Source organism: Homo sapiens, chromosome 7 (assembly GCF_000001405.40).
Source record: "Homo sapiens chromosome 7, GRCh38.p14 Primary Assembly".
Lineage (NCBI taxonomy): Eukaryota > Metazoa > Chordata > Mammalia > Primates > Hominidae > Homo > Homo sapiens.
This window is the reverse complement of record NC_000007.14, coordinates 47,397,594-47,418,800: the sequence shown is the minus strand read 5'-3', so window position 1 is coordinate 47,418,800 and position 21,207 is coordinate 47,397,594. Positions and strand designations below refer to the sequence as shown.

The window sequence follows — 21,207 nt, the reverse complement described above, 5'->3', positions numbered from 1 at the left end:
TTATGGAGATTCCAAATGGAAGTTTTTGCTGTTAGAAGTGGCTGTGAATAATGCAAGGGACAACTGAAAATTTCAAGCTGCTTTTATGTTCGTTTGCTTACAAGTTTAAAAACAATCCTTTAGTTTTTAAAATGTACTCACTGGTTTGAGAAGCAGCATGGAAAACATCATCTCCAGGGAGTTATTTCCTAAAAAGAAAGAAAAGATAGCAATGGGAAAATAATGGAGCTGTTTTTATAAAGTATCTGGTTTCTAATCTTTCCAGCTCTGAAAACTGTGTTGACTAAGTAGGAACATTTTATTTTGGATAAGGCTGTTGGGATGGTCTTTAGAGGGCATCTGATACCCTACAATTGATTCATTTATATCTACCTTTAATGCCACAGATAAATACTGTGTATACGAAGTTAAAGTTGATCCTTTCCATAGTCAGCTGGATGAACTAATTGTGCAATTCTGTCCTATTATGTTCATTTCCCCTTCTTTTCTTTTTTTACTTTGAGACAGGGTCTTGCTCTGTCACTCAGGCTGGAGTGCAGTGGTGCAGTCTAGGCTCACTGCAACCTCTGCCTCCTGGTTCAAGCAATTCTCATGCCTCAGCTTCCTGTGTAGCTGGGATTACAGGCGCATGCCACCATGCCCAGCTAATTTTTAAAATTAATTAATTAATTTTTTGTAGAGACAGGATTTCAGCATGTTGGCTAGGCTGGTCTCAAACTCCTGACCTCAGGTGATCCTCCCACCTCAGCCTCCCAGAGTGCTGGGATTATAGGCGGGAGCCACTGCGCCTGGCCTCCCTTATTTTCATCCATACCTGAATGTTCTGTTCTTTGGTACTGATGGTGGTTCTCTAAGAAGTCACTCACAAACTCAGTGCTATTACCTACGTTGGCTATCTGTCTGCAATCTCATAGCATTCACTACAGCTTATAGTTGCAGTGAACTTTGTTGTTTTTATAAGGCATTGCTATTTTTTAAAAAATGTTTTTTAAAGGCATGCTTTTATTTGGGATTTTGAACAATATGTTGGTTTTTTTTTGTTGTTGTTGTTAATCTTACCTTATTAAGAAAGCATGTGAAGGAAGAAAAAAAATTACATTTACCTTAGCATTTTATGTCTTTAATTTACCTGAAAATATGATGCATAAAAAGTTGTTTTCTATAAAGGACAGATGAGAATTATATTCCAAGAGGTTACTTTTTGATTGGTTAAGCTACCACCTGAGCAGCCCTTTGTAGACTGACCTGGGAGGTGATGACTGTTGAGAACTGGTTTTGGGGAGAAGACTCTGGAGTCCTGGGTCCCAGGCAGTGACAGCCTCCTTCCCTTCCCCTCTGACCACTACTGGGCTTGTGGCCCTGGACTTTGGCCTTCTTTGGGAGCTCGTGGCAAAACAAAGTTCTTCTGCTGTCAGCTTGGCCCTCCTCATCTGAAGGAAATACTTCTCGTGCTTCGTCTGGTGTCAGGGGCAACAATTTCGGCCAGGCCACATCAGCAGAAATGAAGCTGTGTGACCACAGTATGGTACAAGACCTGGGTCAGGGAGAGGCCATGGTTTCCCGGAGGATGGCTGTTTGCCCCTCATAGGACCTTGGCGCTAACTCTGGGCTTAGCTACTTGGACCCCTTATGCTGCCATGAACAGGAGCCCCTCAGGCCCAGCGCTCCAGAGTCTTCCATGTTTGCAGGAAGTCATAAAACAAACATCGACTTCACCTAGATGCCTGGTCCAGGTGCACATGGGGCACTGAGAACACCCCCAGGGAACAGGTCCGTCTTAGCCGCGTGGTCACTGCAGCACATGGCCAGGCAGTGTGGGACTCAGGGTGCCACTGACAAACTGGACGAGCTGAGGAAGCTGATTTCCCAGTGACCAGGGCTGCCCCGTGCTGGAAGGAGGGCGGAACTGCTCCAGAGGAGGTGACTCAGGCCTCTCAATCCGGGCATTTGTGGTTCCTCACTTTTACTCAAAACCAGGGAGCCAAAGGACCCATGAAATCCACAATGCGTAAAATTTGCATGATTAAACATATACAATTCATGCATTCCTCTGCCTACGTACAACTGAGGGTGAGAAGTCTTGTTGCCAGGGTAGAAAGTACCCTGCAGGAGAGGCGTGTGGGAGCTGCCTGGAGGTCCACTGAAGTCTGGTCATCAGCCTCACAGGGTCCCCACGTCTCCAGGCTGAGCATCTGTCCTCTGCGACTCTTGTGAGGTTTTGCCCTGTTCTGAGAGAGCAGAAGAGAAGTTTGCTGCCAGGAAGATGGAAATACTGACATGCCCTGTTTCTCACTACGAATTGTAACTGAACTGAAGCAAACTCGCTTTTCTAACATTTTCCTAGTGGGTGGACTATAAGTAGGGCTTTCCTTTTTTGTTAATGTTTAACAGAAATCTTCTCTTGTTTAGTTTGTTTGTATACAAATTTAACTGCTTGAATAAGGGACTGGGTGTGAATTGCCAGCGTAAGTGAGAGACTTTTGTCTTAACACAAGGTCCATGATGGCCGTTTCTGGCTTAGGGTAGGATGGTTGTAGGTGCTGGCAACACAGTCACCTGCCACTTCCTGCCTCAGTCTGCCATGGCAGTAGAGAGATGCACAGATTGTTAAATATTGCGGAGTTTTTGATTGTTTGGGTTTTTCTTGCAAAGAGTACAGTACTTTGGTGGAGACAGATATGGAAACACAGATTCCATGCAAGGTGTTGAGGCTACAGTGGAGGTTATGTGGGTGAAGTGGCCATGGTGAGGGACCTCAGGGCAGGGGCCACGCCAGGCAGGGCACCAACAGGCAGGACAGGCCAGGGAAGCGTCAGAGAGCTTGGTAAGCCTCCGGCTCATCCTGTGGTCACTGCTGCCACGTCATGCCTCATGAGGACCCCAGCAGTCAGATGCTCCTAGTGTAGAAGCTTCCCTCTTGACCACCAAATGCTCATGGAAGTTGTGTGCAGTCAGTGTTGGAAGCATGAGGCCGACTCCTAGAACTCAGAAAGGCTGATGGCCCACATGGCCTTCGCCTTTGGAGCTGGGCCTTGAAGAGGGGGACAGCAGGAAGGAGAGCCTCTTATCAGATGTGGCGTGGAAGGCTGCGGGATAGGAGGGGAGTATGGACTCCAGCCTTTTCTTAGGGCTCTCGAGTATGAGCAGAAAGCAGCAGGTGCAGTGAGTGGTTCTGGGCCTGGGTCATGTGACCCTGCCATAGGTGCAATGCTAGTGACAGAGCACACGCCCACCGGTGTGCCAGGCCTCTGCTTCCTGCTGCTCACCAGTGGGGATTGTGATGGCCTGTGGCCTGTGGCCTGGCTTTGCCTGGCGATAGGTTCAGTGGACAGGCACAGAGGCCTTTCAGGTGTGGGATGCTCAAGCCAAGAGGCCGGTTGTGCCTTGGTGTCTGGTGCTTGGTGCCTGGTGCGCTGGTGGGAAGCCCTCAGACCTGTAAGCGCAGCACCATGCTGAGAACCCCTGGCTGTGAGCAGTGGACCGATTCTCTCCCAGAGCCCCAGACTCAGCCAGGATGTGTTTCTCCTTGAGTTCCCTTCTCAGCAGAGGCTGAAGACACTTCTGGGAAGTGTAACCCAGCTGTCCGTTTTGCAGGTATGTTCAGTTCCTCAGTGGGCTCCTGTCCGGATCGGTGAAAATGAATGCCTCTCCCCTGTTCCTGCATTTTGTCATCCTCCACGGCACCCCCAACTTCGACACAGGTGGAGGTGAGTGTCCCCTATGACGTGGCACCTGCGATTGGCTGGCCCAGACTTGGAGCTGGTCCTGGGCCCCTCAATTTAGATAAGCCTCGGCTTTCCTTCCGAGAGGGCCCAGGATCTGCTCCTCTGCCTCCCTGGCGATTGACTGGGTCCCCCTTCAGTGGTCAGAGCCCCATGTTTATGTGGTTGGGCCAAGTTATTTAATCAGGGGAGGGACTGGCGGCCAGCAAGGGGGATCAGAAATACCCCTGTGTATATGCACAGTGACTAGGGCAGACAAGCATTGTTCTGGGCTGCAGCCCTAGTGGGTCAGCTGTGCAGTTGGCCTTGAGGTCACAAGCCATGGAAGAAGCCCAGTAAGAGGCATGAATGTGACCCAGTCTCCCCTGACGCATCTCATGAACCCATCTCCTCCTCCTCCTTTAAAATGACCCCACAGGAAAGCACACAGCATGTAGCTGAGGGTGAGGGCCCTGAGCCCTCCTTCCTGTCCCACTTAGATGAGCACAGCACACGACTGGGGATCACGGCCCTGTCTCCACATCCCCAGTTCCCCAAAGGTGCACAGAGTATATGGCCGAGGGTCAGCAGGGCCCTATCCCTCCTCCCTTGTCCCATGCAGGAGCAAATGGCACATGGCTGAGGGTCAGGGCCCTGTCCTCTCCTTCCCAGTCCTATGCAGGCACACACAGCACATGGCTGGGATTCAGGACCCTTGCCCTTCCTCGCCAGTCGCATGCAGGTGCTTGCTCAGAGGTTTCTATTGTCTCTGAAGTACATCTGTGCCTTCAGGTCCCCCTGGTCATTATGGCCAGAGTGACCTTGCCAAGCTGCTAGTTGGTTTTGAAGCAGCTTGGCTTCACTTCAGGAGCCTTTGGCACCCTTTGGATAAAGGTCAAACTGTGTTGCTCTGCAGGCTTCTAGGACCGGGTCCGGCCTTTTCCTGCAGCAACCCTGTGGCTCCATGCACTGCTTTCCCAGACCTCAAAGGCCGCAGGTGCAGTCTCCTGGTCTCCTCGTCGCTTTCTGTCTTTCTGATTGCCAAATTCCTGTTCGTTCTGTACCGGTCATGCCTCTACAGACAGTTGTGCCTTTCTTTCAGTGTGCCGGCCCTTTCTGAAGCTCTACCAAGCCATGCAGCCTGTGTACACCTCCGGGATCTAGTGAGTGCTGCTGCTGCTGCTGCTGCTGTTGTGGGACCTGGACGGCTCAGGGAACTGCAGCTGACCCTCAGCTGCCTGTCCCGCAGGAAGAGTGTGGGAGGGTTCAGGTCAGAGAATGCCAAGAAGCCAAAGAAGAGTCCAGTGGGGAAAATCCTCTCGTGGCCCGTGCTCCAGCATCACGCCTTGGCCCTCCCTCCTGCCCTGCACAAGTGTCTTTGGGCTGTCACACTAGTTGGCTCCATTAAAGGACGTGGGGGCTGGAATTTTGAGGGGAGAGTGGGCCATTTGCTTTTTGGAGTATGGTGGCCCCTTGGTTTTCAAGGGGTATTGATTCCAGGACCCCCTTTGATTACCAAATCCGAGGATGTTCAAGTGTGTTTTATAAAACGGCATTGTCTTGAACTCCTGACCTCAAGTGATCTACCCGTCTCGGCCTCCCAAAGTGCCAGGATTACAGATGTGAGCCACCGAGCCCCTGGCCATCATGGTGAAACCCCGTCTCTACTAAAAATACAAAAATTAGCCAGTCTTGGGGTCGTGCATCTGTAAACCCAGCCACTCGAGGTGGAGGCAGGAGAATTCACTTGAACCTGGGAGGTGGAGGTTGCAGTGAGCCGAGATCACACCACTGCACTCCAGGCTAGGTGACAGAGCGAGAGTCAAAAAAAAAAAAAAAAAAAAAAAAGGCCAGGCTTGGTGGCTCACACCTGTAATCCCAGCACTTTGGGAGGTGGAGGTGGGCTGATCACAAGGTCAAGAGATTGAGACCATCCTGGCCAATATGGTGAAATCCCGTCTCTACTAAAAATACAAAAATTAGCTGGGCATGGTGGCGTGTGCCTGTAGTCCCAGCTGCTTGGGAGGCTGAGGCAGGAGAATTGCTTGAACCTGAGAGGCAGAGGTTGCAGTGAGCCGAGATTGTGCCATGGCACTCCAGCCTGGCGACAGAGCGAGACTCGGTCTGAAAAAAAAAGAAAACAACAACAACAAAAAAACTGGCATTGTATTTTCATATAACCCATGAGCATTCTCCTGTATACTTTAAATCATCTCTAGATTACATAACAATACCTAATTCAATGTAAAGGCTGTGAAAATAGTTGTTACAATGTATTGTTTTTTAACTTCTATTATTTTTTATGGTTGCATTTTTGTTTTTTATTTATTTCCCACAATATTTTCTGTCCCCAGTCAGTTGAGTCCATGAATGTGGAACCCAAGAATAGGGAAGGTTAACTGTGAGCCTACTGGAGAGAGTCCTACGATAGGATCTCACTACTATGGTTTTTCTTTCTCGCTCCTTTCCATTTTGTTTTCCATTTTTATTTATTTATTTTTTTTGAGAGAGCATCTCGCTCTGGCACGATCTCCACTCACTGCAACCTCCACTTCCTAGGTTCAAGCGATTCTCCTGCTTCAGCCTCCCGAGTAGCTGGGATTACAGGCACCTGCCATCATGCCCAGCTAAATTTCATATTTTTGTAGAGACGGGGTTTCACTATGTTAGCCAGGCTGGTCTCAAACTCCTGACCTCAAGTGATCTGCCTGCCTTGGCTTCCCAAAGTGCTGGGATTACAGGCGTGAGCCATGTCTAGCCTCCTTTGCATTTTAAACAATACGTAGCCACACATCCCCCAAATTTGTACACATTCCTGAGTTTTCTTTGTCTTTTTGTATGTGGACAGGCATTTTATGAAAAGTCAGTAAAGGAAACAAATATTCTCATTACTCACAAAGAGCTGTTGTCACATTTCTGGGTTTGCTCTGGGCCCTCTGTGCACTGATGTCACTCTGGAATTGCACCCTCAGTTTGTAACTGAAACTGTGGCTGTGCACACCCTGGGCCCCTTCCTCTAAGCCTGCATGGTCGTCTCCAAGCTCGGGCCTCTGGAGTTGGACCTTAGTCACTTCAAGTCAGTCACTGACCATGATGATGCTATGAGGACCCTCCATGGCCTGGGAGCTTTCTTTACCTTTTTAGATTCATTTAGATTCTCAGGAATTAGATTCTGGGCTGATTGGGCATTCTGTGTAATTTCTGAGTTTTGGGTTGTAGGGTTGCTTTTCTCTACATGTATTCTTCCCACAAAATCATGAAGTTGCATAATGATCTACCTTCTTCTTCATCCCAAAGCAACGTTGGCCCAGAAAACCCCAGCAGGATCTGCATCGTCATCGAGCCGGCCCAGCTTCTGAAGGGAGATGTCATGGTGAGTGCCCGCTGTGGCCGCAGATGGGTTGGTGTCCCCACTCTCCCAGTGGTGATGACTTGAAATCATGATTCTGTGTTAAAACAGTAACCCTCACCCCCAAAAAAAGTACCCTGTAGGAAGAAGGAAAAGTAGCTTTTACCTTAACACTGGGGTCCCCCACGCCTGGGCCGTGGACCTTATCGGTCTGTGGCCTGTTAGGAACCGGGCCAGCGAGCGAGCATGACCACCTGAGCCTCCCGTCAGATCAGCGGCGCCATGAGATTCTTATAAGAGTGCGAACCCTATTGTGAACTGTGTATGCGAGCGATCTAGGTTGCACACTCCTTAGGAGAATGATGATCTGAGGTGGAACAGTTTCATCCTGAAACCATCCTCCACCAGTCCATGGAAAAATCATCTTCTGTGAAACCAGTCCCTGGTGCCAAAAAGATTGGTGACCACTGCCTTAAGGCATTTAGTTAACTTTCTGAATAAAACTATTTTAATTAAAGGGACGGAACAAATCTTCATTCTTGATTCTCTTTCATTCTAGAGCCCCTCGAGATATACAACCTGGAAATTAATGTCCTAACTCGGCCACTCACTTCTGAGAACCCCTGTGTTCTGACTATAATTTGCATTCTTCACATGATCACAGGCCTCCCAGAGTGTGGGTGCAGAAATAGAATATTTATGTATCATTAATAGCCAAAGTGTGAAATACAGCTGGTGCAATTACAGCTTGATTAATGATCAAAACAATGATTTCTCCAGATAATTTTGATTCTTATGTGTGTTGGTTCTTGGAGGAGATTAGCCATTACATTTTTGCCTTTTATCTTTCTTGAATACAAACAATTCATACATTTAAAATAATTTTAGGAAAATTTTTTATCTGAAATAAGGTAAGCTTTTAAGGCATATGTATGACTTTCAGCATGCATAGAATCATAGAATGTAAAGATTTCATGGCCTTGGAAGACCCACTTCTATAAGGCAGTAGGGTGACTCGAGAAATAGCTTTTCATTGTATTATAAATACCCTATACAAAGTTTTTGAGGATTTTCATTAATTTCCCTGTAACCCCTAGATTTTGAAATCTTAGCTTAGTGGATGGTGAACTCCCTACCTTGCTGGTCCTGAATTCTTACAAAAATCAAATCAGCGAGGATCGAAGGTGGAGAGGATTGAAGGTGGAGACAGTCTAAACCCATCCACGCCTGCGGGGTCCCTCTGGGGCCTCCAGGTCTGTCCTGTTTCACATGCTCACCACCTAATTGAGGGGTTCTTCAGGCCTGGAAGGCAGGTCTGGAACAACAGCTGGGCCCAGCCCTTTTCAAGGCATTGAGTAAGCACTTTATAAACATCTTGCCTCCTGTTTCATAGGCAAGAAAGCTGAGGTTTGGGGTGCGTCATACGTTTTTATAGGCCCGTTTCCTCAGCTCTCTGTTCTACTGTCCTAAGGAGGAGGACCTGGGCTGGAAGTCTGTCCTCAGCAGTGCTGTGCTGCAGCGATGGTGCAGCATCCCTGTGGCTGGAAGTGAGAGGGAGGACCAGGAGGGGAGAGAAACATCCGCTCTGGTGTTCCTCACATCCTGTGGTCCAGAAGGCAGCCCTGGGCTTGTTTCCTAGGAGGCTTCACCCTGGAGGCTCCTTCTCCCAGGACACTTCCTGGGATCGTTGGACGAAGGGCCTGAGTCTGTATTGAGCACCGGCTATGTTCAGCACTTTACTCCTCCACCCACTCTGGAACTGGGTCTAGTGTTCCAGCTTTAAAGAGGAGGCCGGGCTGGGCGCAGTGGCTCACGCCTGTAATCCCAGCACTTTGGGAGGCTGAGGTGGGCGGATCACGAGGTCAGGAGATCGAGACCATCCTGGCTGACACGGTGAAACCCCATCTCTACTAAAAATACAAAAAATAAGCTGGGCAAGGTGGCGCGTGCCTGTAGTCCCACCTACTCAGGAGGCTGAGGCAGGAGAATGGCATGAACCCAGGAGGCGGAGCTTGCAGTGAGCCAAAATTGCGCTACTGCACTCCAGCCTGGGCGACAGAGCGAGACTCCGTCTCAGAGGTAAAAAAAAAAGAATAGGCCAAGAGAGGCTGGGGGCGATGCTGGTAGGATTTGCACCCGCCCTCATCTTGTTTGCGTAGTGTTCTACCTGCCCTGGGAGGCAGCATCTCAAGGGCGGGTGCTCCCTGAACCAGGTCTTCAGTGATGAGTAGTTATTGCCCCACGGCTCCGTCCCTTTAAGATGACTCATGGGAGGCAGCTGAACAACTCAGTCATAGAGGGTGACCCTCAGGCTAAGATGTGTCTTCCCCCCTACCGCCCACCAAGAGCATGGGACGGCCCTCTCCCCTGGGCTGTTTATGGGCTGGTAGCTGCAGGGTCTTCCTGAGACCAGGCGGGGCCCTCTCCCCTGGGCTGTTTATGGGCTGGTAGCTGCAGGGTCTTCCTGAGACCAGGCGGGCGGGGGCAGTCTCCTGGGAAGTGCCTGGCTCCTCTCCTCTCTTCCCAGCTACCTCCTCCTCCTTCCTTCTCTTCTCCCCTCTCTTCTCTCCCACCCTGCCTTTACAAACTTCTCCCTCCTCCTCTTGCCCTTCTTCCTTTTCCTCCTCTCTGCTCCCTCCCTCCTTCCTCCTCATTATTTTCTGTGGCCCCTTCTTCCTACTGTCATTCATCCAGTAGTCTTTTTTTTTAATGTTTTGTGCTTTTGGAGTTGCTATGCTTGCTCTAGGCCCATGAGTGAAGTTTTTGCCCTAGAGGATCCCGTTGGGGACATGGGCTTTCTGGCAGGAGGGAACCTACTGATACCGTGTAGCCTACAGAGGCCTTGATGAGACGGGGTGGGAGAGGTCACAGGAGGACTCAGATGGACGTGTCCTGTGAGTTGGCTCCAGGTTGGAAGGGGTGTTATTATACAAACAGATGAAGCATCCCAGGCTTGAGGCACCCACAAAGGCTGATGCTGTTGTAAGGATGTCTGTCTTGCAAGGAAAGTCGTTGTCTTGGAAGGTTGAAACCAGATTTTGTAGGGCTTACATATTTGCATATTTTGTTTTGGGAAGTGTTAGACCTCTGCCTAGTGCAGGTTTGTAAGGATTAAATGTACTCAGTCACATAAGTCTCCCAGGACAGCGCCTGGCAGAGGATGAAACTGCATCGATGTGACCCTGCGGCATCACCAGGTCACTTTCCTCTATCGGACCAGACTGTGGCTTAGTCTTTGGGGCAGCCACTGCCTCTTCCCTCTGGAAGAGCCCCCAGCACCCCACCCACCCCATAGGCCCTCTCCCCATGGTGCTGCGTCTTATCCTGTCCCACCCTGTAGTGGGCACCGCAGCCCAAGCGTGTGGTCTGAGTAGACATTACATGCATCTCTGTTGTAGCAGTTGGAATGAGGCTTTGAGTGGGCGGTGTGGGTGGGACTTGGAAGGGGTGTGGTGGAGGTGTGGGTTTGGCACTTGATAAATGAGGCAGGCCCAGGAACAGGGTGGGGCAGGGCAGAGAGGGGCCGTGAGTGGGTGAAGGAGGCGGTGGCCTCCTTTCCTCAGTGTCCCACCTGCAGCCCTTGGGAGTGTTCCCAATGGCCTCCAGGCCACCCTGGGCTGGCGTTCTCCAGCCTGCCATCTCCTCCTGGTCTTCTACCTGTTGCTGGCTCTAACCTGCTTGGCATTCAGACTCTGTGTCCCTCAGGCCACTGGAACCCGCCAGCCGCCTCTTGCTGCCCCAGCTGATCCCGCCATTCTGTCCCCAAGCCCTGCTGATCTAGCACTGTCCACCCACCCTGGCCCTGACCTCTCAACTCAGGCTTCACCCTTTGGTCTCAGCTTAAACAACAGAGGTGATTCTCCCACAGTCCTGGAGGCTGGGAGCCTGAGATCCAGGTGTGGGCAGGGTGGTTTCTCCTGAGGCCTCTCTCCTTGACCTGGAGGTGGCTGTCTTCTCCCTGTGTCCTCACCTGGGCTTCCCTCTGTGTGTCTATGTCCTCATCTCTTCTTACAAGGACACCAGTTATCATTCATTCGGGCCCAGCCTAATGACCTCATTTTAATTTACCTTTGTGAAGACCCCATCTCCAAACACAGCCCTATGCTGAAGTGCTGAGACCTTCAACTTATGGATTTTGGAAGGACACCATTCAGCCTGTAACAAGTCTGTTTATTAAATAAACCTCTCCTAGAAAGTTTAGTAAGATTACTAGCGCAGTCAGGTGCCATTGACGGCCCAGTCCCTGTGGCTGTGGTTTGTCACCAGCCTTTATCCTGAGCACGTTCAGCGTGCGGCCTGCATGAGAAGATGCGGTGGACACGTGAGTGGGCAGTGCAGGGCTCCTGCTCCCGGGAGTCTGGGTCCTTCAGGGAGATGAGCATGCAGATAGCTAGGGCAGGTGGAACTGAGCATGGCAGAAGGTGCGCGGCGGCAAGAGCTAAAGGTTAGGTGGGAGAGATGATTTCCAGCGTGTCAGAGAAGGAGTGGCTTCACAGCAGAGCTCACATCTGTGGTCGACCTGGAGAGTAGAAACCCAGGGTGTCACTGCCAGCACTCCCATCAGAGTCGGGAGTGCATCTTTTGCCAAAGCCCAGAAATCTCAGTGCTGTTGACTCCCTCTGAAAACGACCTAAGGGAACAACACAGGAAGAAAAAAATGCGGTTGCACGTTTCTCATTATTGGCAAAGCATCCCTAGAGAGGAGCGGGAGCCATCCCCTCCTCCCGTTCATGCTTCTTCTGGGTGTTCTGAGGGTGTGCAGGGCAGGAGCAGCACCGGATTCCTCCTCTCCAGCCTCTTCCGACCTTCCAGTGACCCACTCTGCCATGCTCAGCACAGGATGCCCACGCCGCCTTCACTTTGCCCTTCCTTCAGTTTTTCCCTGTGCCTGCGTGACGTGCCCTGCTGCAGGTTCACTGAGCAATCCTTAAGTTGAGAAGGCTGTAGTGGGGGAAGAAGTTACAGGGCCTTTTCTGTGTAAAGTTCAGATATGCAGGTGGTTTTATTTCTTTTGGCAACAGTCATGGCTTGGAGAGGATCCTAACGAGCAGAAAGCATGTGCATAGATTTACACCCTGAAGACTGCAGATGGCTTGGTGCCCTCAGTCTGGGTGTTTTCTGAGGCTGTCTGTGTACTTTTGAAGGCGGAAAGTGGCTTCCCAGGCGGGGTAGCCATCCTTAATCCTCCTCCTTCAAAAGGCCTCTTGTCCTCTTTGAGTTTTCCCCTCCGTGGTTCTGGTGTCTGCCTTGCCTGCAGGGACATCTGCCTGGCTTTCCTCATGAGGGCCTCTGCACTGGGACTTACTGGCAAAGATCACAGTGGTCAAGTTCACAGAGAAGGAAGGGCCAGAGTCAAGTCTAACTGCAGAAAGTGACTTGGGAAAACAGAGCCCCACTTGCCACTCCCTGGACTCAGTTACTAGCAGATGGAGCTGCTGCAGGCAACAGCAAAGCTGACCTTGACCCACCGTCTGCCTTCGCCTCGACACAGCCAGCCCATCCCTGCTTGGCCCCTCCCAGCTGCACACCTGACCCATCCCATCTTTGCAGTGTGCTTTTCCCAAAAGGTCAGATTCTTAAGTCTGCTCCTTTCAAAAGGGCAGAACCTCAAGAGGTTTAGTAAATATGGCATTGTCAGACAGTGCCATGGGGAGGGCAGCCGAGGCGTTATGTAACCCTGTTCAGGAATTCATGCGGGCAGCGGGCTCATCAGGAGTCTGGCAGGGCTCCAGGGGCCTGATCCGGCTTGCTCCCTCCCTGGTCTCGGCTCTCAGGTCCACAGTTTGTAAACACATGCTTCATCTTGCTGCCCCTGCTTGGACAAATCCACGGCCACTTGAATTTTGTGTTCATGGTTGCTGGCTCTAGAACCTCGCTCCAGTGACCCGACTTGTAAACAAAGGTGTTGCCTGCTCAAGAAGTTTTCACAAACAAATAGTGCTGTTGCTGGTTGTTTCTTACCGAGGGCACTTACATAAGGCCAGGGAAAATGAAAGTGTTCTCCTGAGACTCTGCCCCAGGAGAGGTTTCTACAGATCTCTGTTGGACGCATCACAGCATTATTTTGTGATTGCCTTTTCCTCTCCCTTTTAGACTGGGCTGGGTCTTAATCCATGCTGTCATCTCAGCATAGTGGACTTGGTTGTGTTTTCGTTTGCAGCCAATATTTACCCACCTTTCAATTGCTTTAGGTCATGAATTACAATATTGCGAACATCTGAAGTCATTTTCAGCTCCAAGTGAAGAAATCATGGTTAGTGTTGGCCCTGCCTGACTTAAGTCTTTGACCTATGGGGCTTAGCTATCTAACTTTTTACCCTCCAAATATGCGGTTGTAACTCATTCTCTGAGTTCACAGATTCCTTGAGGCCTGCGTAGACAGTTGCCTGGGCCACCAGTGGAGCATTGAGTGAGAATGTTACTCTTTTCTGTTAGGGATGCTTTGAGGGTTCTGCTCTTTTGCTTAGTAAATTTAGGGGAAGCAGAGCTGAATAGGAGCTGCCCAGCAACGGCTGGCATTGGGGGATGATAGGAACCTGAGGGCTGACTTCTGAATTGGGGACTGGCATTCCTGGGGCTGATACCTTAAGCCTTGACTCTCTTGGTACATGGTGCTTTTTCTCTTGTTGATGGAGAGTTTGAAATAAAAATACACTTATGTGGCCTAAAGTTAAGCAAGTCATCAGTGTCTTTAAACACTGGATTGAGGGATAACTTCTTTGAGAATTCCATGTGTCTGCCTTCGACTTGGTGTACTCCAGGAGCAAATGAGGTCAAGGCAGGGCTCCGTTCCTGGTCACCAGCAACTTGTCCAGTCCAGTCAAGGGCACAGGCATATTTTTATTTTTATTTTTATTTTTATTTTTTGAGACTGAGTGTCTCTCTGTCACCCAGGCTGGAGTACAGTGGTGCAATCTTGGCTCACCGCAAGCTCCACCTCCTGGGTTCATGCCATTCTCCTGCCTCAGCCTCCCGAGTAGCTGGGACTACAGGCGCCTGCCCCCATGACCGGCTTTTTGTATTTTTTTAGTAAAGACGGGGTTTCACCATGTTAGCCAGGATGGTGTCGATCTCCTGACCTTGTGATCCGCCTGCCTCGGCCTCCCAAAGTGCTGGGATTACAGGCGTGAGCCACCGCGCCCGGCCGGGCACAGGCATATTTTTATACCACTATTAGAAAATAAATTTTGGCGATGGTTTCTGAATTGCCTCATCAGACTAAAAGAAAGCAAGAGTGCTTACAGGCCTTCCCATTGAGATCATCATTCACCCTATATGTTTTTGAGTACCAAGTGCCCTCTCTCTAGAAGCTTATGCCCTTTAAATAATATATTCATATAAATATAGCATATCATTATTGGATAATGAATTATATTAATATGTAGTGCTAATTTAATCTTTATAACAACATAGCCAGGTCAATATCATAATACTCATTTTGCAGTCAGAGAATTTAAAGTCTAAAGAGGCTGCAACTTTCTCAAGATCTGAGTGCTCCCAGCGATTTGTGATGTCAACATCACACCCACGTACTTTTGTGGTTGGCTCTATGATAGCATGGTGACAGGCTGTGCGCAGCCTTTGTTGTGGTGCTTGCTATTTCTTATTTCATTTTTCTATGCTACAAAATTGTGACTGCACATCTTTGAGTTGTTATTTTAAATGCAGATATTCTAAAATCTGAAGGCAAAGGATCAACATATTCTAGAAACACTCTGGGGAGACCCAGGTAAATAAAGTTAAAGCCGGAGGGATGAAGGGAAAATTATAGACTTGAATCAGTCTAATCTTTACGAAATGTTTGCATTACTATTATATCTTAAAGGGAGGCATTTGGGGGCCCTCGTACCAAGTACCATGTTGATTGTTCTTTCTGTTAAGTATTACAAGCATAATTCTGATCTCTTGCCATTGCTCCTAAAAAGATTTGTTGATGTAGATAATGCATAATTATTGCACACTATGGAGGGCTCCTGGTTGGTGAGTGGATTTTGTCTCAAGATCTGACCTGCTGTGTTGATGGTGGTTGCTGGGAGCCCCGAGTTAGGGAAAATCCTGTGGTTTTCCGTGTCTTTCAGAAGAAGCTGGAGTCAGTTCATGATTTGGTCAGGAGGACTGGGGAGGGTGGTGTTTACCTCCATTAATCAAGAGGAAAGAGGTTTAATATGAAACAGGGATTGTGTATGATGAGGCCGTTAGGATCTCAAGCCAGCAAACAAAGTTAGCATTAAAATACACAGAGAAACCCCTGAAGGGAGGGCCACGTGATTTCAGGCAGCAGTTGTTCTCTGCCAGTGGGATAGACCGCTCTTTCTTTCACTGTGGAGCCTTAGGAGTATTTGAAAGCTTGTGCTGTGAAAAATAGGAATCTTACAGGAGAATCATATGGGGCCTGGAGAGGAACCTGTTTGGGACAGGCCGATTCCCATCTCCTGCCACTCTGTACCTCCTGGGCACCGTGGCCTGCCTTCTCCTCCCTTCTGGTATGTGGAGGGAGCTGGGATTGCTGCGGGAGGAGCAGTGTGTTTGTGTGTAGCTGCTATGAGGAGCAGTGGGGGGACCTGGGGGAGCATCCTGGATTCCTGAAGAGGGAGGGCAGGACCTGGCCTGGAAGGAGGCCCTGCGCTGGGCGGGGCGGTACTGACGGGAGGGGCACGGTGAGCTGCGGTTGGGGATATTCCACTGTGCCCCTTATGTGGCCCGTACTGGAGCCCACAGCTCCCTCTGTTTTCACCCAGGACACTCCCTGCCTGCCAGGACTGAGCCCACAGCTGCCTCCTGAGGAGTTTCCTGACTCCTGTGGGCAAATGTTGGCGCCCATGGCAGCACAGGCTGCGTGAGCTATCAGCTGACATCGTGTTGTTGTTTTTATTTTTTTAAATCTCTGGTTCCCTTAAATATTTATAAAATTTGAGAGCAAGACTGGCTTGAATTGGGGCATCTCTTTTCCTTTTCCCTTCCCTAACCACTTTTCACTCCCCATTTGCAAGGCACTAGTGGAGGCAGACAGGCACATTTGAAGGCAGACAGGGAAAGGTGGGTGCTATCATCTCTATCAATGGGGGTGCATGTGTGGATTTACCCTTGGCCAGAAGGACCTCCCTCTGGGGATCTCTACAATATGCCCCAGGTTGAAGCATTTGATGGGTGGTCAGTGTAGTGAGTGTGGGGCATGGGGAGCTCAAAGGAGGGGCCCAGATACTCTCAGAACATCCTGGAAGGATCCCTGCAAGGGCAGCCTTTGATTGAGTCTTGCTGAGAAGTCAGTCTCGGACAGAGGTGGTAGATTTGTGGCCAACGTGCCATTGGCTGTTGGAAAGCAAATTGAGGCAACATTTCTTCACAATGCCAGTTTTCTACTTGCAAACGCCCTGGTTCCTGGGCCCCTGGAGGCCAGGCCTGAGTCTGAGCCCCATGTTTACAGCACCGCTGGCCAGCGCCAGGCCGTACAAGGGAGACCCAGTCATGTTTGTCAACAGGGAACATCCTTCCACAGTCTTAATTATATTTTTTTGGTTTATTTACCCGTCCCTTTCCTTGTAGATAGCACAAAGGTAAACATCTTCTGGGTCTGCCTGGAGTCACAGCTCCCTGCCTCCTGGGCTGGGTTTCTGGGCTTTTTGTTCCTCTGGTGGATGTTCATCTGGTTAGGGAAGACCCTCCCTGCAGAATTCTCCCGCATGCTGGTCCGGATCATACCTGCTGCGGTGGCTTCTCATTTACTGTTGTGAGGCATGTGATATTTTAAAGCCATCTTTCTCCAAGAAAAGTCTCTTTTATGGGAACGTGGCTGTCTCTGGTAGTCACTACCCCACAGCCTCGGGGTTGGGGAGGTACCTGCCTGTGCACGATTTGGTCTGAGAGCAGAATCCAGCCTGTCCAGGGCCTTCGGCCTTCTGGGGATTTGGGAAAGTGCCACTACCTGGTGGTCCTGCCCCTGATCTCTGAGTGAGGGGTATCCCTGTCCCTGCAGCTCCCCCAGCTGTGGCCTGAGAACCCTTCCAATGATGCCAGTGCTGCGCACGGTCACAAGAAGCAGGGGGGACCTAGTTATACAGGCAGGTCAGGACACTCAGGCTCCTGCTCTGCCCACCGTTCCCCACATGCCAAGCATCTGCAAGGAGGGGCTTGCTCTACCCTTTGGCTCATTGGCACAATCATTTAGGGTGCTTGAGCTGCACCCTGGGGACCTCATGAACCCCAGCTTGAGTTCAGATCACATCAGGGTGATTCTGAACACTTGTCTAAATGCCAACACCCTCTCTGTCTCCCTCTCTCCCTTCCTCCTTCTTTGTATCTCTGTCTCTAAATTACAGCATGCACATAATCATTTAGGATAGTACACACAGTAATGACCGGCTGCTGCTTTTTGGAAAACAAAAAGCTTTAAGTTGCAACATGGAGCATTGAGATCAAAGAAAAGCTATCACAATCAGTTGTTAAAGTCTAGAAAAAAGAGACCATGGAATTCTATTTTTCGGATGTGTTCCAAAACAGGGCACATTCACGTGGTCTGAAAGGGTTTAGGTGTGGCCTCTCTGAGGACTAGCGATAGTGGTGTTCAGAGCTGCGGTTCCACAGGAGCAGCACAGGGAACACATTGAAGCCTCCAGTGGAGCCCCGCACCCAGCAGCAGCAGTGTGGTGCCTCTGCCTGCACCCCAGCTGTCTGCAGGCGCCTGTGCCCCAGGGCTGAAGTTCCACTCCAAAGCGTGAACTCCCAGCCAGAGTCCAGAGGGGAGGCCCTGCTGTGCCGGCCTCCGCGGAGTGTGTTCCTTGCCGGGAACGTGTGTCCCCCGCTGCAGCTACTTTGTTTTGTTTTGTCTCTCTAACCCAGGTGAAATGCTACCACAAGAAATACCGCTCGGCCACCCGTGACGTCATTTTCCGCCTGCAGTTTCACACTGGGGCTGTGCAGGGCTACGGGCTGGTGTTTGGGAAGGAGGATCTGGACAATGCCAGCAAAGGTGAGGCGCGGAGCTGGCGGCCCTGTGCTTGTGGGCAGCTGCGGTTGAACCTCCTTGGTTGATTCTTTCACTATCCCCTTTACCCTCTTTCCAAAATTCAGCCTACTGACAAAATTGTTCCCAAAGTAGGAGAAAATGATCATTGATCCCTGGGGGAAAAAAATTATGGATAACCAATGAAACTGCCTATACTTTCTGTATCATGGGGTGTCTTTATTGCAGATTTGGGAGTGGTGCTGTACTGGTTGGAATAAAGGACAAAGTCAGTCCATACTTTTCCGGTTAATTGTCTCCACAAATGTGTTAAAATACATTGTTTTTTTCAGATGACCGTTTTCCTGACTATGGGAAGGTTGAATTAGTCTTCTCTGCCACGCCTGAGAAGATTCAAGGTGGGTAGCTTGGTGGAATACTGGGTGGTCCTTGCTGACACTGGTGAAAGGTGCATGATGGCTACGCTGGGGCTGTAGTACTAGTCTCCTGCCTTTGTGCATATTTGGAGATTTCTGTGATTAATTTTATTTAAATGTAGGATATTGGATAGTGGAACAAGAAGGCCCACTTGTGTCAGTAAGCCCCAGAAGTGGCGTGACTTGCTCACAACCACTCAGCCAGGAGAGCCTTGGGCATGACTGGCCATTCTTGTAGGAGTAAGGTGGTATTGCATTGTGGTTTTAATTTGCATTTCTCTGGGGGTTAGTGATGTTTAGCATTTTTTCATGTGTTTGTTGGCCATTTGTATATCTTTTGAAAAATGTCTGTTCATATCATTTGCCCACTTTTTGATGGGATTATTTGTTTTTTTTTTTTGAGGATTTGTTCGAGTTCCTTGAAGATTTTGGATATTAGCTCTTTGTCAGATGCATAGTTTGCAAATATTCTGTCTCACTCTGTGGGTTCTGTTTACTCTGATGATTATTTCTTTTGTGGTACAGAAGATTTTTAGTTTAATTCGGTCCCATTTACTTATTTTTGTTCTGTTGCATTTGCTTTTGGGGTCTTAGTCATGGATTATTTGCCTAGGCAAATGTCCAGAAGAGTTTTTCCTAGGTTGTCTTCTAGACTTTTTATGGTTTCAGGTCTTAGATTTAAATCTTGGATCCATCTTGAGTTGATTTTTATAATATAAGGTGAGAAATGGGGATCCAGTCTTATTCTTCTACATGTGGCTAGCCAGTTTTCCCAGCACCATTTGTTAAATAGGGTATTCTTTCCCCAGTTTATGTTTTTATATGCTTTGTTGAAGATCAATCAGTTGTAGTCAGTTGTATTTCTGGATTCTCTATTCTGTTCCATTGATCTGTGTGTCTACTTTTATACCATGATGTTTTGGTAACTATAGCCTTTTAGTATAGTTTGAAGTCCAATAGTGCGATGCCTCCAGATTTTTGTTTTGTTTTGTTTTTAGGATTGCTTTGGCCATTTGGGCCCCTTTTTGGTTCCATATGAATTTTAGGATTTTTTTTTTCCAATTTCGTGAAGAATGATATTAGTATTTTGATAGGAATTGCATTGAATCTGTAGATTGCTTTGGACAGTATGGTTGTTTTCAGTATATTGATTCTTCCAATCCATGAGCATGGGATGTGTTTCCACTTGTTTGTGTCATTTCTGATTTCTTTCATCAGTGTTTTGTAGTTCTCCTCGTATGGATCTTTCACGTTTTGATTAAGTATATTTCTAGTTTTTTTTTTTTTTTTTTTTCAGCTGTCGTAAAAAGAATTGAGTTCTTAATTTGATTGTCAGTTTGGTCATTGTTGGTGTACAGCAGTGCTACAGATATGTGTACATTGATTTTGAAACCTGATACTTTACTGAATTCGTTTATCAAATCTAGAAGTCTTTTGGAGGAGTTTTTATTGTTTTCTAGGTATATGATCATATCATTGGCAAATAGCAACAGTTTTAATTCCTCTTTTCCGATTTAGGTGCCCTTTATTTCTTTCTCTTAGCTGATTGCTCTGGCAGTACTATTCCAGTACTATGTTGAATAGAAGTGGTGAAGGTAGGCATCCTTGTCTTGTTACACTTCTCAGGGGGAATGCTTTCAACCTTTCCCCATTCAGTATGACATTGGCTATGGGTTTGTCATACATGGCTTTTATTATTTTGAGGTAAGTCCCTTCTATGCCTAGTTTGTTGAGTGTTTTTATCATAAAGGGATGCTAGATTTTATCGAATGCCTTTTTCACATCTACTGAAATGACATATGGTTTTTGTTTTTAATTCTGTTTGTATGGTGTATCACATTTATTGACTTCTATATGTTAAATCACCCCTGCTTCCTGGGATGAAATCCACTTGATCATGGTGTATTATCTGTTTAATGTGCTGTTAGATTCAGTTAGCTAGTATTTTGTTGAAGATTTTTGCATCTATGTTCATCAGGGATATTTGTCTGTGATTTTCTTTTTTGTTTGTTTGTTTGTTATATTCTTTCCTAGTTTTGGTATCAGGGTGATACTGGCTTCATAGAATGAGTTAGTTAGGGACAATTCCTCTTTCTCAGTCTTTTGGAATTGTTCAGTAGGATTGGCACCAGTTCTTCTTTGAATGGATGGTAGAATTCAGCTGTGAATCCATCTGGCCCTGGGCTCTTTTTTATTGGCATTAAAAAAATTATTGATTCATTTTCACTGCTTTTTACTAGTCTGTTCAGGGTTTCTATTTCTTCCTGATTTAATCGAGGAGGGTTGTCTGTGTCCAGGAATTGACCAATTTCCTCTCAGTTTTGTAGTTTATATACATAAAGGTGTTCATAATAGTCTTGAATGATCTTTCGTGCTGGTTGTAATGTTTCGTTTCATTTCTAATTGAATTTATTTGAATCTTCTCTCTTCTTGGTTAATCTAGCTAATGGTCTATCAGTTTTGTTTATCTTTTCAAAATACCAGCTTTTTGTTTCATTGATCTTTTGTATTTTGTTTCAATTTCATTTAGTTCTGCACTGATTTTTGTTTTTCATTTTCTTCTACTAGCTTTGTGTTTAGTTTATTCTTGCTTCTCTAGTTCCTTGAGGTGTGACATGAGGTTGTCAATATGTGATCTTTCAGACTTTTTGATGTAGGCATTTAGTGCTATAAACTTTCCTCTTAACACTTGCTTTGCTGTATCCCAGAGGTTTTGATAACTTGTGTCACTATTATCATTCATTTCAAGGAATTTTTAAATTTCCATCATGATTTCATCAT

The 21,207-nt window shown here is 48.0% G+C and overlaps 1 protein-coding gene across 24 annotated transcripts in view, besides 2 other annotated features; it reads left to right on the top strand.

Moving 5' to 3' along the window:
• The window catches only part of TNS3 (tensin 3), a 307,433-nt gene that overhangs the window by 163,786 nt on the left and 122,440 nt on the right, over nt 1–21,207 (top strand). For all 24 annotated transcript variants that reach the window (XM_047420733.1, XM_047420729.1, NM_001410878.1 and 21 more), the window contains 5 exons: nt 3,595–3,707; nt 4,804–4,864; nt 6,999–7,074; nt 17,887–18,016; nt 18,343–18,408. In XM_047420733.1, the coding sequence (XP_047276689.1) occupies nt 3,595–3,707; nt 4,804–4,864; nt 6,999–7,074; nt 17,887–18,016; nt 18,343–18,408 (446 nt within the window). The remainder of the gene's footprint in view (nt 1–3,594; nt 3,708–4,803; nt 4,865–6,998; nt 7,075–17,886; nt 18,017–18,342; nt 18,409–21,207) is intronic.
• Nucleotides 15,163–15,671: an enhancer, noted in NCBI's record as "H3K4me1 hESC enhancer chr7:47442727-47443235 (GRCh37/hg19 assembly coordinates)". NCBI's record gives its function as "activates a minimal SCP1, AML or CMV promoter by ChIP-STARR-seq in naive H9 embryonic stem cells {active_cell/tissue: H9 hESC(naive)}" and the evidence as "EXISTENCE:reporter gene assay evidence [ECO:0000049][PMID:30033119]".
• Nucleotides 17,418–18,327: an enhancer, noted in NCBI's record as "H3K4me1 hESC enhancer chr7:47440071-47440980 (GRCh37/hg19 assembly coordinates)". NCBI's record gives its function as "activates a minimal SCP1, AML or CMV promoter by ChIP-STARR-seq in naive H9 embryonic stem cells {active_cell/tissue: H9 hESC(naive)}" and the evidence as "EXISTENCE:reporter gene assay evidence [ECO:0000049][PMID:30033119]".